Genomic DNA, 16,566 nt, shown 5'->3' on the forward strand with positions numbered 1-16,566 from the left:
AAAAAACGGTGCACCACGAGATTACATCCCGCACCTGGCTCGGAGGGTCCTACGCCCACGGAGTCTCGCTGATTGCTAGCACAGCAGTCTGAGATCAAACTGCAAGGCAGCAGCAAGGCTGGGGGAGGGGCGCCCGCCATTGCCCAGGCTTGCTTAGGTAAACAAAGCAGCCGGGAAGCTCGAACTGGGTGGAGCCCACCACAGCTCAAGGAGGCCTGCCTGCCTCTATAGGCTCCACCTCTGGGGGCAGGGCACAGACAAACAAAAAGACAGCAGTAACCTCTGCAGACTTAAATATCCCTGTCTGACAGCTTTGAAGAGAGCAGTGGTTCTCCCAGCACACAGCTGGAGATCTGAGAACGGGCAGACTGCCTCCTCAAGTGGGTCCCTGACCCCTGACCCGAGCAGCCTAACTGGGAGGCACCCCCCAAGAGGGACAGACTGACACCTCACACGGCCAGGTACTCCTCTGAGACAAAAATTCCAGAGGAACGATCAGACAGCAGCATTCGCGGTTCATGAAAATCCACTGTTCTGCAGCCACTGCTGCTGCTATCCAGGCAAACAGAGTCTGGAGTGGACCTCTAGCAAACTCCAACAGACAAGCAGCTGCGGGTCCTGTCTGTTAGGAGGAAAACTAACAAACAGCAAGGACATCCACACCAAAAACCCATCTGTACATCACTCATCATCAAAGACCAAAAGTAGATAAAACCACAAAGATGGGGAAAAAACAGAGCAGAAAAACTAGAAACTCTAAAAAGCAGAGCGCCTCTCCTCCTCCAAAGGAACGCAGTTCCTCACCAGCAATGGAACAAAGCTGGACGGAGAATGACTTTGACGAGTTGAGAGAAGAAGGCTTCAGACGATCAAACTACTCCGAGCTACAGGAGGAAATTCAAACCAAAGGCAAAGAAGTTAAAAACTTTGCAAAAAATTTAGACGAATGTGTAACTAGAATAACCAATACAGAGAAGTGCTTAAAGGAGCTGATGGAGCTGAAAGCCAAGGCTCAAGAACTACGTGAAGAATGCAGAAGCCTCAGGAGCCAATGCGATCAACTGGAAGAAAGGGTATCAGTGATGGAAGATGAAATGAATGAAATGAAGCGAGAAGGGAAGTTTAGAGAAAAAAGAATAAAAAGAAAAGAACAAAGTCTCCAAGAAATATGGGACCATGTGAAAAGACCAAATCTACATCTGATTGGTGTACCTGAAAGTGATGGGGAGAATGGAACCAAGTTGGAAAACACTCTGCAGGATATTATCCAGGAGAACTTCCCCAATCTAGCAAGGCTGGCCAACATTCAGATTCAGGCAATACAGAGAATGCCACAAAGATACTCCTCGAGAAGAGCAACTCCAAGATACCTAATTGTCAGATTCACCAAAGTTGAAATGAAGGAAAAAATGTTAAGGGCAGCCAGAGAGAAAGGTCGGGTTACCCTCAAAGGGAAGCCCATCAGACTAACAGCAGATCTCTCGGCAGAAACTCTAAAAGCCAGAAGAGAGTGGGGGCCAATATTCAACATTCTTAAAGAAAATAATTTTCAACCCAGAATTTCATATCCAGCCAAACTAAGCTTCATAAGTGAAGAAGAAATAAAAAACTTTACAGACAAGCAAATGCTGAGAGATTTTGTCACCACCAGGCCTGCCCTAAAAGAGCTCCTGAAGGAAGCACTAAACATGGAAAGGAACAACCGGTACTAGCTGCTGCAAAATCATGCCAAATTCTAAAGACCATCAAGGCTAGGAAGAAATTGCCTCAACTAAAGAGCAAAATAACCAGCTAACATCATAATGACAGGATCAAATTCACACATAACAATATTAACTTTAAATGTAAATGGACTAAATGCTCCAATTAAAAGACACAGACTGGCAAATTGGATAAAGAGTCAAGACCCATCAGTGTGCTGTATTCAGGAAACCCATCTCACGTGCAGAGATACACATAGGCTCAAAATAAAAGGATGGAGGAAGATCTACCAAGCAAATGGAAAACAAAAAAAGGCAGGGGTTGCAATCCTAGTCTCTGATAAAACAGACTTTAAACCAACAAAGATCAAAAGAGACAAAGAAGGCCATTACATAATGGTAAAGGGATCAATTCAACACGAAGAGCTAACTCTCCTAAATATATATGCACCCAATACAGGAGCACCCAGATTCATAAAGCAAGTCCTGAGTGACCTACAAAGAGACTTAGACTCCCACACAATAATAATGGGAGACTTTAACGCCCCACTGTCAACATTAGACAGATCAACGAGACAGAAAGTCAACAAGGATACCCAGGAATTGAACTCAGCTCTGCACCAAGCGGACCTAATAGATATCTACAGAACTCTCCACCCCAAATCAACAGAATATACATTTTTTTCCAGCACCACACCACACCTATTCCAAAATTGACCACATAGTTGCAAGTAAAGCTCTCCTCAAAAAATGTAAAATAACAGAAATTATAACAAACTGTCTCTCAGACCACAGTGCAATCAAACTAGAACTCAGGATTAAGAAACTCACTCAAAACCACCCAACTACATGGAAACTGAACAATCTGCTCCTGAATGACTACTGGGTACATAACGAAATGAAGGCAGAAATAAAGATGTTCTTTGAAACCAACGAGAACAAAGACACAACATACCAGAATCTCTGGGACACATTCAAGGCAGTGTGTAGAGGGAAATTTATAGCACTAAATGCCCACAAGAGAAAGCAGGAAAGATCCAAAATTGACACCCTAGCATCACAATTAAAAGAACTAGAAAAGCAAGAGCAAACACATTCAAAAGCTAGCAGGAGGCAAGAAATAACTAAAATCAGAGCAGAAATGAAGGAAATAGAGACATAACAAGCCCTTCAAAAAATTAATGAATCCAGGAGCTGGTTTTTTGAAAGGATCAACAAAATTGATACACCGCTAGCAAGACTAATAAGAAAAGAGAGAAGAATCAAATAGACGCAACAAAAAATGATAAAGGGGATATCACCACCGATCCCATGGAAATACAAACTACCATCAGAGAATACTACAAACATCTACACAAATAACCTAGAAAATCTAGAAGAAATGGATAAATTCCTGGACACATACACCCTCCCAAGACTAAACCAGGAAGAAGTTGAATCTCTGAATAGACCAATAACAGGCTCTGAAATTGTGGCAATAATCAATAGCTTACCAACCAAAAAGAGTCCAGGACCAGATGGATTCACAGCCGAATTCTACCAGAGGTACAAGGAGGAACTGGTACCATTCCTTCTGAAACTATTCCAAGCAATAGAAAAAGAGGGAATCCTCCCTAACTCATTTTCTGAGGCCAGCATCATGCTGATATAAAAGCCAGGCAGAGACACAACCAAAAAAGAGAATTTTAGACCAATATCCTTGATGAACATTGATGCAAAAATCCTCAATAAAATACTGGCAAACCGAATCCAGCAGCACATCAAAAAGCTTATCCACCATGATCAAGTGGGCTTCATCCCTGGGATGCAAGGCTGGTTCAATATACACAAATCAATAAATGTAATCCAGCATATAAACAGAACCAAAGACAAAAACCACACGATTATCTCAATAGATGCAGAAAAGGCCTTTGACAAAATTCAACAACGCTTCATACTAAAAACTCTCAATAAATTAGGTATTGATGGGACGTATCTCAAATTAATAAGAGCTATCTATGACAAACCCACAGCCAATATCATACTGAATGGGCAAAAACTGGAAGCATTCCCTTTGAAAAACTGGCACAAGACAGTTTTCAAAGGAAAACTTTGAAACCTCTATCACCACTCCTATTCAACATAGTGTTGGAAGTTCTGGCCAGGGCAATTAGGCAGGAGAAGGAAATAAAGGGTATTCAATTAGGAAAAGAGGAAATCAAATTGTCCCTGTTTGCAGATGACATGATTGTATATCTAGAAAACCCCATTGTCTCAGCCCAAAACCTCCTTAAGCTGATAAGCAACTTCAGCAAAGTCTCAGGATACAAAATCAATGTACAAAAATCACAAGCATTCTTATACACCAATAACAGACAAACAGAGAGCCAAATCATGAGTGAACTCCCATTCACAATTGCTTCAAAGAGAATAAAATACCTAGGAATCCAACTTACAAGGGATGTGAAGGACCTCTTCAAGCAGAACTACAAACCACGGCTCAAGGAAATAAAAGAGGATACAAACAAATGGAAGAACATTCCATGCTCATGGGTAGAAAGAATCTATATCGTGAAAATGGCCATACTGCCCAAGGTAATTTATAGATTCAGTGCCATCCCCATCAAGCTACCAATGACTTTCTTCACAGAATTGGAAAAAACTACTTTAAAGTTCATATGGAACCAAAAAAGAGCCCGCATCGCCAAGTCAATCCTAAGCCAAAAGAACAAAGCTGGAGGCATCACGCTACCTGACTTCAAACTATACTATAAGGCTACAGTAACCAAAACAGCATGGTACTGGTACCAAAACAGAGATATAGATCAATGGAACAGAACAGAGCCCTCAGAAATAATGCCGCATATCTACAACTATCTGATCTTTGACAAACCTGAGAAAAACAAGCAATGGGGAAAGGATTCCCTATTTAATAAATGGTGCTGGGAAAACTGGCTAGCCTTATGTAGAAAGCTGAAACTGAATCCCTTCCTTACACCTTACACAAAAATTAATTCAAGATGGATTAAAGACTTAAACGTTAGACCCAAAACCATAAAAACCCTAGAAGAAAACCTAGGCATTACCATTCAGGACATAGGCATGGGCAAGGACTTCAGGTCTAAAACACCAAAAGCAATGGCAACAAAAGCCAAAAGTGACAAATGGGATCTAATTAAACTAAAGAGCTTCTGCACAGCAAAAGAAACTACCATCAGAATGAACAGGCAACCTACAAAATGGGAGAAAATTTTCGCAACCTACTCATCTGACAAAGGGCTAATATCCAGAATCTACAATGAACTCAAACAAATTTACAAGAAAAAAACAAACAACCCCATCAAAAAGTGGGCAAAGGATATTAACAGACACTTCTCAAAAGAAGACATTTATGCAGCCAAAAGACACATGAAAAAATGCTCATCATCACTGGCCATCAGACAAATGCAAATCAAAACCACAATGAGATACCATCTCACACCAGTTAGAATGGCAATCATTAAAAAGTCAGGAAACAACAGGTGCTGGAGAGGATGTGGAGAAATAGGAACACTTTTACACTGTTGGTGGGACTGTCAACTAGTTCAACCATTGTGGAAGTCAGTGTGGCGATTCCTCAGGGATCTAGAACTAGAAATACCATTTGACCCAGCCATCCCATTACTGGGTATATACCCAAAGGACTATAAATCATGCTGCTATAAAGACACATGCACACGTATGTTTATTGCGGTACTATTCACAATAGCGAAGACTTGGAACCAACCCAAAAGTCCAACAATGATAGACTGGATTAAGAAAATGTGGCACATATACACCATGGAATACTATGCAGCCATAAAAAATGATGAGTTCATGTCCTTTGTAGGGACACGGATGAAAATGGAAATCATCCTCCTCAATAAACTATCGAAACGACAAAAAAACCAAACACCGCATGTTCACACTCATAGATAGGAATTGAACAATGAGAACACATGGACACAGGAAGGGGAACATCACACTCTGGGGACTGTTGTGGGGTTGGGGGAGTGGGGAGGGATAGCATTAGGAGATATACCTAATGCTGCATGACAAGTTAATGGGTGCAGCACACCAGCATGGCACATGTATACATATGTAACTAACCTGCACATTGTGCACATGTACCCTAAAACTTAAAAGTATAATAATAATTTAAAAAAATAGAAAATAAAAATGCTACTGTTACGTGAAAAAAAAAAAAGATTGTAATTTACCATTAAATATTCTAAATACAAAAGCTCGTTTTCCTCTACATCTGCATGACATTAGAAATTTAATACTCCAGCAAGGAGGTCAGAAAATAGGACAGGGCGCTGCCCCTGCACACCTCAATATGCTTCTCCTGTATGTGTAGCAACAACTTTTATATACCACCACTTTTCTGTTTCAAAAAACATTGAAGAGAAATGTAAGTGCTGCCAAAGTAATAAGTTAACAACTATGGGAAAAATTTAAGGGAAAAGAATCTTAAAAAATTAAAAAATCATTCTAGAATTCAGCTGAAGCATGTGGAAGTTTAAATTGTCCATTCTGCATTACTGAGATGTATTGGGAACCAATACCTTTTACCACAGAGAATTATAGTAACTTTTAGATAAGAAAAAAGAAACACAAACATTTTACCTGAATAATAAAACTGTAACTGCTCCTTTTATAAATGCTATATTGGATTTTGATGAATCTTTGTATAATCGTATATAAATTTTCAAGAACAAAATTCTAAATGTTCATATTGTTTATTAATGTTATCATAAAATACTCATTATGTACTTTGTAATCTTACATTTTTCAAACAAAAATTAGTTCTGACTAAGATACAGAGTATAGCACATGCACTCAATGATACAACCCTAAATGTGCTCATTAAGACATTTTATTCCATGAAAGCCGTGACTGACCAGACTGATATCACCTCAAAAAAATAAAAATAACCCACCTTCCTAGGAATTAAACTGGGAATGAATAGCAAGGGGTGATGAAGAATGGTCAGCTTCCATCACCTAATCTTTGAGAGAAGGCAAAGTGTAGAGCAAAGATACAGAAATCTGAATGAGGAGGAGGTTCCTAAATCCAAATTCAACCCCAGAATATACTTGTCAGGTTGGTAAGAAATCAGAAGTTAGCCTGCTCCATTCTCAAGGTTTGTGCCACTCCAGTACACTACTATTTACCACTCTTCAATTAGCTTTATCTGAGTGCCACAAATATTTGCATGGACATGTGCAGTGTTCTGTGGTTAAAGAGATAAATATGGCATGGTCCCTGTTTCCAGTGGTACTTTTAAATACATATAATTGGCTGGGCACAGTGGCTCACGCCTGTAATCCCAGCACTTTGGGAGGCCGAAGCGGGCGGATCACTTGAGGTCAGGAGTTCAAGACCAGCCTGGACAACATGGCAAAACCCTGCCTCTACCAAAAATACAAAAACTAGCTGGGGGTGGTGGTGTGCACCTGTAATCCCAGCTACTTGGGAGGCTGAGGCAGGAGAATCACTTGAACCCGGGAAGCAGAGGTTGCAGTGAGCCGATCATGCCACTGCACTCCAGCCTGGGTGACAGAGCAAGACTTCATCCCTAAAGAAATAAACAAATAAAAATTTGTGTATGTGTGGATGATTCATAAATTTACTGTTTCAAAAAACAAGGAAGAAAAACAAATGATTTTTATATAAGGCAGAATCTGCCAGGGACTAGTAGGTGAAGAATGGGGTCCTCTGGGAGTTTGGAGGAGATAGTGATCATTATTTCATTCAGTGAGAGTTCTCATTAGTATTCTATCAAATTTATTTCTCTGATAAGGCTATTTATACTATTCTACCACATAAGGTTTTTTTTGTTCATTTCTCAGACCTTTTATATATCTAAAATGCTTATAAATGTAATCCCTACAAAAAAAGTGTATCCAAAAAAAAAGTTTGAAATGAAACTGGTTGTCCTGTTAGAAACATTAGTTGTTCAGAAATGCTTCATAAATATGTGAATATATGTACTCTTTATCCATCTAACTCTGCATTTCCCAAATTCGTTTCCACACAGAACACTTTTTTCATGGCACATTCATCAAAACCACAGGTTAGAAAAGAATGTCAGAGTACCTAAACTTTGAAGAGAAAATGTAATTGTTTCTCAAAAACTTCTGAATCTTGGCAAACTATATACAAACACATACCTTTTGGTTTATTAAAATATAATGTAGTTATCTAAAACCTGTAGCCTACACTCTTAAATGGAGAGCAATTTTTACGTAGCAATTTTGAATTATTTTCTTAACTCTATACTCAATTTACTTTTAAAATAACTAAAAAATGGTCAATTTGGTAATTACAACTTCATAGGTTGAAGTATATATATATAATATATATATTTACATATTTTTTTTTTAGAGGGAGTCTCGCTCTGTTGCCCACGCTGGAGTGTAGTGGCACAATCTTGGCTCACTGCAACCTCTGCCTCCCGGGTTCAAGCAATTCTCCTGCCTCAGCCTCCCAAGTAGCTGGGATTACAGATGCACACCACCATGCCTGGCTAACTTTTGTATTTTAGAAGAGACAAGGTTTCACCATGTTGGCCAGGCTGGTCTCAAACTCCTGACCTCAAGTGATCCGCCCACCTCAGCCTCCCAAAGTGCTGAACTGAAGCATATTTTAAGACACTTAAATTATAATTTATTTGCCTTTGTTTTATAAATCGAAGTTACCTGAGAATCAAAGTTAAAATATACATCTGAAGTACAAGGAATGGATAGGAAAAACTTTCACGGAGAGGTTGTGTCCACATCACACGGGTGACCTGAAATCAACAAAATGCCCACTTTACATCATGTTTACTACAACAAACATTTAAAAACCAGGGGTGAGGTTTTTTTAGTAATTTCAATACCAGGCTCACTAGATCCCATTTCTGAGTGTCTGGCATAGCTTCTCAGTTTTTGAAGCTCTCTTAACGCATGAGGCCATTAAGTAGAGAGCAATTAACTACCATGTCCAGAAACCAGCAACAGATGTATCAGACCGAGCAAAATGAAACCCAACGGACAAACAAGATTGTACGTATAAGAGTTGTGAGAATTCTGGGACTGACCAACTAGATCCATAGGCCAGCCCTGCAGTATGATCCTGGCACATGATCCTGGCATCCGAGGCTTTGGGATATATGCATGCCGAGACAAACACCTAAACAAATGTCACCTAGGTCATTCGCAAGCACCATGAGAGTTTCTATGTAACAAGTATGAACGAATATAAATACACACTTTGAATAGCTAAGATTGCCTCAGATTTTGTAAAATGTACCTTAAAAAAGTTAAGTATATATTTTAAAAACAACTAGAAGTATTTGGGAACTACAAATGTGATGCATGTAACGAAAAGTATTAAATTTTCACGCAAACTTTAAAATTATTTCTAAGACGTATGGGTCAGAGTATTAGAAAAATTTTCCATCAAAAATTCTGAAATTCTAGAAAGAATGTGAACTCTTATTACTTTGCAAGAGTCTTAGAAGTTATTGCTCCTCTTCCAAGATACCAAAATTGTAAATGTTGGAAGAGGAATTATGATACATAAAAGTCAACTTATACCAACAGTTGTCTGGCACACTCAAAGAAAAAGCTTTGTCTTTAAATCAGCACATTGTTGAATGTCAATGCATTTGTTTGCTTTAAAATAATATATATGGCTTTTATGTATAATTTTTATGATTCCTTTATCTAACTGATTTTTAAAAATTAACCCAACAGCAATGGATAAAAGTACCTCTACCCCGGCCGGGCATGGTGGCTCACACCTGTAATCCCCAGTACTTTGGGAGGCCAAGGCGGGTGGATCACGAGGTCAGGAGTTCGAGACCAGCCTGGCCAACATGGTAAAACCCCATCTCCACTAAAAATACAAAAATTTAGCTGAGCATGGTGGCACATGCCTGTAATCCCAGCTACTCAGGAGGCTGAGGCAGGAGAACTGCTTGAACCCACGAGGCAGAGGTTGCAGTGAGCCAAGATCATGCCACGGCACTCCAGCCTGGGCGGCAGAGCAAGACTCCATCTTGAAAAAAAAATACTTCTACCCTATGAAACCTGTGTCATAACTTATTAAATATTTTGCTCCCAAGAGCTAGGAGTCAGAATCTCTCTCTTTTTCATTGCCATATCCTCAGCATCTAACAGAGTATGGACATGGTATATACCAATATTTTGTTGAATGTATCCATCGTATTTGAAATAAGCTTCTATGAGCTCTTTTTTAGGTGGACTATGTTTCATTGGGCTGAATTAGTAAGTTAATGTCTATTTTGAATTCAGCATTTTGCATTACTGAACAGACAGCATGACGTAACACAAAGAAGTGAGGGAGCAGGTGGCAGTGTCTTAACCGTGTCCCTGCTGTCAGGCCTGAGGCCTCTTTCATTGTTGTTAAGGGGAGTGCAATGCATACAAAGTTTCAGTTAGGCAAGATAAATAAGTTCTAGAGATCTGCTATACAACATTCTGTTAACACTGTATTGTACACTTACAAATCTGTTAAGAGGGCAGATCTCATGTTACTTATTCTTACCACAATAAAAAAGTTGAATATATATGTTATACATATAAAATATATAAAAGTTTTTATAAAATATAACTATAATTTTATAATTAATAAAATATAAATTAATATATATGTGAGGTTTTAAATGGCAGACCAGACATAGAATGGGAAATCCAGCTTCATCATGTAGTAAATGTGGAATGTGGATAAGTAACTTAATTTTCTCTAAATTTAAATTTCATAACTTGTATGGTGAGGCTACCACCACCCACAAAAAAAGTTTAGTGGGAATAAATCAGATAATGTGCATGACGTGATTCAACTCAACAAGTACAGTATTTCCTTTTCTCTACAGAATATATGTATATGTATATATTTACTAAAAATAAGGCAAGAGATTTCATGTTTGAAATTCTAGCTATTTAAACATTTTGATCAGCATGATTAAAATATCAACTTATAACACAAGGGTCTTTAAAATATTGTGAAGTCATAAGTAGTATACAATTATATATTGTTTCGATGAGTATATTTCTTTGTTCCTCTATAACCCCTTCTATTTCTTAAAAATTGCTTTCTAGAAAACAAACCTCTCCATGGTTGAAAAAGCAGCACAGTACTGTAATAAGACCTCCTAGTTGAGTCCCACTGTAAAAAATAATAATAATAACAGAGTATACAATCAAAATTCATGTAAAATACAGTGAGTTTTTCACAAAATTACCTCAGAATTTTAAACCATAGTTTAAATCATATTTAAAACATAATAGTACTAAACCATACCCATGTGGTTGATGCTTAAATCCTGAATGTACAATCGTAAAAAGTGTACATATAAATTAATCTCAATTTTATAATTTATCATAGCTAAAATACTTTCTAAATAAAATACATAAGGTGTGAACATAAATTTTTTTTGAGATGGGGTCTTGCTCTGTCGCACAGGCTGGAGTGCAGTGGCGAAATCTCGACTCACTGCAACCTCCACCTCCTGGGTTCCAAATATTCTCCTGCCTCAGGTTCCCAAGGAGCTGGGATTACAAGCGTGTGCCACTATGCCCGGCTAATTTTTTTACTTTTAGTAGAGATGGGGATTCACCATGTTGGCCAAGCTGGTCTCAAACTCCTGACCTCGTGATCCACTCGCCTCGGCCTCCCAAAGTGCTGGGATTACAGGCATGAGCCACCGCGCCCCACCGCATAAAGTAATTTTTAAGAAACAGGCTAGCACTTTAGAGTCTAGATCACATCCTTTGAATAACCTGAATAAAGGCAAATTCTTATTTTTGAAATTGGCTTTAAGGGATTGAGAAATGAAGACAAGATTCAAACAGTTTCATGTAGCATTAACTTAGAACTGTCTAAACTACTGCAAATATTCTTTACTTGAGTCCCAGACAAGCAATAATGCCGAATACAAAAATCAGATGAAAGATAAAAACCATTTCTTTTGTTGTTGTCTTTTTGTTTTTTTGTTTGTTTGAGAAGGAGTCTCGCTCTGTCACGCAGGCTGGAGTGCAGTGGAGCGATCTCAGCTAACTGCAACCTCTGCCTCCCCAGTTCAAGCCGACTCTTCTGCCTCAGCCTCCCGAGTAGCTGGGATTACAGGCGCCTGCCACCATGCCCGGCTAATTTTTTTTTTTTTTTGTATTTTTAGTAGAGACGGGGTTTCACCATGTTAGCCAGGATGGTCTCGATCTCCTGACCTCATGATCCGCCCGCCTCGGCCTCCCAAAGTGCTGGGATTACAGGCGTGAGCCACTGCGCCTGGCCCAAAAACAGAACTTTTTTTAAAAAAATAGAATATTTTTAAACCTGCCCAAACAATCTCAAAGCAATCCTTTTCCCTCAAAGTACTTTAATGAGCTTATATTTTTCTACACGGCATATAGAAAAGTGCATAAAATTTCTAGATTATAGAACTGTAAAGGGAACGTCCATGTAGTCACCATATAATTAATTGAAATAGAGAAATGATTATACTGTCTTCACTTGCCAGCCTCCAAGATAAGAATCAGCTACTGACCTGATTTTTGAGATTATCAACATAACTCTTTCTATACACATATCAAACTATGATTTACTTTAATCTGTTTTTAAACAACATACAAATGGAAGAATGCAGCATTTTTTTAAATTTTGTACCTGGATTCACTCATTCAAAATTATATTTGTAAGATTCAACCATGTTGTGTGTAGCTGCATAGTTCATTCATTCTCATTATTGTATACTGTTCCACCATGTTAATAAACCAAAATGTATTCATTTCTCTGTTAATGGATATTTGGGTTCTTTCCAGTTTGAAGCTATTGCAAATAATGCTACCATATTATTGTATGTACTTCCTAGTACACATGTGCAATACTTTTTTGGGAATATGTATGTTAAATTACAATTGCTGAGTTATAAGGTATCCATACCTTCAACTTTACCAGATAATATACACTGTTTACCAAAATAGTTGTACCAATTTATATGTCCACCTGTGGTGGACGAAAGCTCCTTTATCAATCTATTAGATGTGAGTTGGTATTTCACTATGGTTTGAATTTATATTTTCTTTATAACAAATGATGGTGGTCAACTTTACATATGTTTATTGACCATGTGGTGTTCTTCTGGGAAATATCAGTTCATAAACATTTTGTCCATTTTTCTATCAAGTTGTCTTTCTTCTTTGTCTTTATCTTCCCACTCTAATATAAACTTCACAAGGACAGAGATTTCTCTTCTGTATTCCAAGCACCTAGAACAGTGCTCCTGGTCACAACAGGCTTTCAATAAATATTTATCAAATTAATGAATGGAATTTCTGGATAGTAGGTGGGGCATAAACTTTGTAAATATCTTCACTCACTTTCAGGTTTTTTTAATCCTACAGTTCTTTTGAGGTAAAATTGATAAACTCATCAAATTTATCAGTTTCTCTTCATGGCTGGATTTTTGTATCTTGTTTATCATTTCTTATTCCAAGTGACTTTTTCTATATTATATGCTGAACACTTTTATAAACCTGTCTTTCATATTTGAGTGATTAATCCAGCTTGGAGTATTATTTATATAGTTCCAAGTTCTCTTTGTTCCATATGATCTCCCAAGTATTCCAGCACTATTTTTTAAAATGCCTGTCCTTACCCACCAATCTGCAATACCTGCTCTTCCATATATCAAATGCCTTTAAATGTACATTTCTGCTTCTGGGCTGTACTCTATTTCGGTTATCTATTTGTCTATTCCTGTGCCAATATCACAGCATCTTTTTACATTAGCTTTATAATATAGCAACAGTTGATAGTGCAAATCCTCCTTTTTCAAGAATACCTTGACTGTATTTGGCGCTTTGCATTTCTGAGTAACTTTTAAATCAGCTCATCAAAGTCAACAAAAAATATGTTGGAATTTTGACTGGTAGAGCATTGAATCTATAAAGCTTTTTAATATCAAGTCTTCAATCAATCAATGTGGAATAGCTCTCCACTTAGATTTTCCTAGACATATCTCAGGAATGTTTTAATCATTTTCCCATAGCTGTCATATATATTTTTTGTTGGATTTATTCTGAGGAACGTCATGCTTTTAATGCTATTCTAAACAGCATCCTTTCAAAATTTCATTTTCTATTTGATCCTAAAGTATAAAATTTATAATTTTGAATTTTAATATTAATGTTTACATCTAGTAACACTGTATATTTTCTTATTGCAAATACTGTATCCATAAGCTTGTAAAATTTTTCTAGATATACGATGTTATCTACTTTTAAGAACACATTTCTTTTTTTTCAAGTTTTCCAATCCTTATACTTATTACTAATTTTCTTTTTACGTACCATGCTGGATAGTATCCCTGGTACAACACTATGTCACTAGTTTTCATTGATTCTATGCTAGTCTTTTTTATGCTGAAAACTTCCTAAAACAAAGAGTGTGTATATTTACTAATCTCTATATTGACATAAGCCCTATGAAAACTCAACAAATATTTGTTGAAAGAGTAAAGCTATTAATTAATTTTAATTTTAAATGTTTTACACGACAAGAATAACATTGTAAAGAAATCTGATGATTCAGCTAGGAATATGTTCCACTGAAAGAAACAGAAAACCTAACAAAAGTAGCTTACACAATATGGATGTTGTTTAATATATCATTCAACAAGAAAATGAAAGATAAGTACCTGTTGGCATTGGTTCAGCAGCAGAAGGATGGTAGGCCAGATATATCTGCTATTTTTATGGCCTTTCCCTTATGGTCACAAGATGACCGCTACAGCTCTGGGCATGACATCCTAGTGTAGTAAAAGCAGGAAGAAACAGAGAAGGGGCAGCTAAGTCTGTCCTTTTGTGAGAAAGGCAGATACTTTCCTAGATGTAACCAAAACTGACTTCACCTTAGTTTTCATTGACAAAAACTCGCTGATTTGGCTATCTCAGGGAGCAATTAAGTGTGGGAGCAAAACACATGACCGCTGAAATTAATTTCAACTTATCACCTGAGACCGGTCTCACTGCTTCTTCATCGTGGTACTCTTATCAAGATAGGCAGGCTAGTAGATGTAAGTGCCTGCCACATGTGATACAGTTTTTCCTACTGCTTTCTTAATTTCATCCTTAGAGAATACAATTAGAAATAAGCTGCTATTACTGCTAACCAAAGATCTCCTCCAATGTTTTCTTAATTTTACACATGAACTAGGAGATATTCCATTAAAGCCTTTGTTAGGAAATCTTAATTAGTCAAAAAAAAATCCTTAAGGGATAAAAGGGATGCCTTTGGGATAGAATTTTAGTGACATCTCCAGTTTCTGGTTACATGATATTGGTTAAGCTTCTGAAAAAATCAAATAAATCCACAAACTTTCCTGATATGAATCTAATCTCGTTAATTTTCCTTTTCATTCAATCAAAAAATATCAGCCAGTCTGTATAAGCCCACTGAAAGGTCTCTTAATTCAGTAGTAGTCTTACCTCAGGTTATGCTCCATACACGAAGAACAATCTCATCATTAGTCCATTCAAAATAAAGACTACACCAACATAAAAGCAAGCAGGATCTCCCAATCCTTTGAAAAGATACAGATAAGCAGTGTTTAATGAATATATGACTCGAAAGCAATTGGGCATAATTATCTCAGTGCTTTGCAATCAAGAGCTTATGAATTTGCTGAAAGCATTTGCTTTCCAGATTGCCGCTGTGTTTAATTCTTTACCCTTATAAGAGTTTGTGTGTGTGTGTGTGTGTATGCAAACACATATATGTATGTGTGTATATATGTGTGTATATATACACATACACATATGTAAGCTCACCCTTAATGAGGTATTATATAGTTACACTTTATACTTTTTATAATTGCATTTGTACTTTCCTCTAATGAATTACTATTATACTGTAATGATTTGTTGGGGATTCACATTTATTTAGGTGATGCTGCTAGTGTTCAGTGTCTGGAACTGTCTGTAGAACCACTTAATGAATACAAAAGAAAATCCATTGCATTATTTTTATCTTTTGCTAGGCTCTAGGAAGAGTTAAGATATGATTTTGACTTCAGGGTACAGCTTTAGTCTATATGAAATGATCCAGTCATTTGATCCATTATTATGTATAGCTAGAATCTTAGTATATTCCATATAGAAGATCGTGCGTGTGTGTGGCAATATGTACTTTACAATCATCCCACATTTTTCTCAGAACAAGTTTATGGTATTAGCTGATATAAAAATACTTTTCTTATGATTAAGAAAACAGAACATAGAATATTCAACTTGTCAAAGGTTATTTCACTTTAACTGGCTGGAGCCAAAGTCTGAAGGCTGGCCTTCTGATTCCCCCTGCCTCTCTGGTCACTCCTTTCAATCAGTTCCAGTAATTTCTCTTGTTTTATGTACCACTCTTTAATACTGGACCACCTTAGGCTCTGTCATATGCCCCCTTCATTTCTCTATCTGCGCATTCTCCATAAAGAAATTCTTCCACATCCATGGCTCCAATGATCTATATACAGATGACTCCAACTCTACATTTAATCCAGAACTTTCTCCTTATTCTTATACCCAGATAGCCACTTGATGTCCCCACTCTGAGGTCTCTCAAGTACCTCAAATTCATGCATACACAATGAAACATAACAATACAAACCTGCTACTGTTCAAATGTTTCCTACCATTCAAAGCTCAGTTACTTAAGCTAGAAACCAAACTGTTTCACATGATTCTTCACTCACCTTCCCCTCTCTTACCAAACAATTACCAAGACAGGGTCTTGTCCATTCTACTTCCAAAATCTCTCTCAAACCCACATTATCCACATTATCTTTCCTGCATATCCACATTAT

The 16,566-nt window shown here is 37.4% G+C and overlaps 1 pseudogene across 1 annotated transcript in view; it reads right to left on the reverse strand.

Annotated features, from left to right (window-relative positions):
- The window catches only part of DPY19L1P1 (DPY19L1 pseudogene 1), a 138,230-nt pseudogene extending 127,378 nt beyond the window's left edge, over window positions 1-10,852 (reverse strand). The window contains exons 1-2 of the transcript NR_036680.1: window positions 10,820-10,852; window positions 8,402-8,493 (exon numbers count right to left, since the gene is read on the reverse strand). The product of NR_036680.1 is annotated as a DPY19L1 pseudogene 1 (transcript). The remainder of the gene's footprint in view (window positions 1-8,401; window positions 8,494-10,819) is intronic.
- Window positions 10,853-16,566: the final 5,714 nt, after the last annotated feature.

Source organism: Homo sapiens, chromosome 7 (genome assembly GCF_000001405.40).
Source record: "Homo sapiens chromosome 7, GRCh38.p14 Primary Assembly".
NCBI lineage: Eukaryota > Metazoa > Chordata > Mammalia > Primates > Hominidae > Homo > Homo sapiens.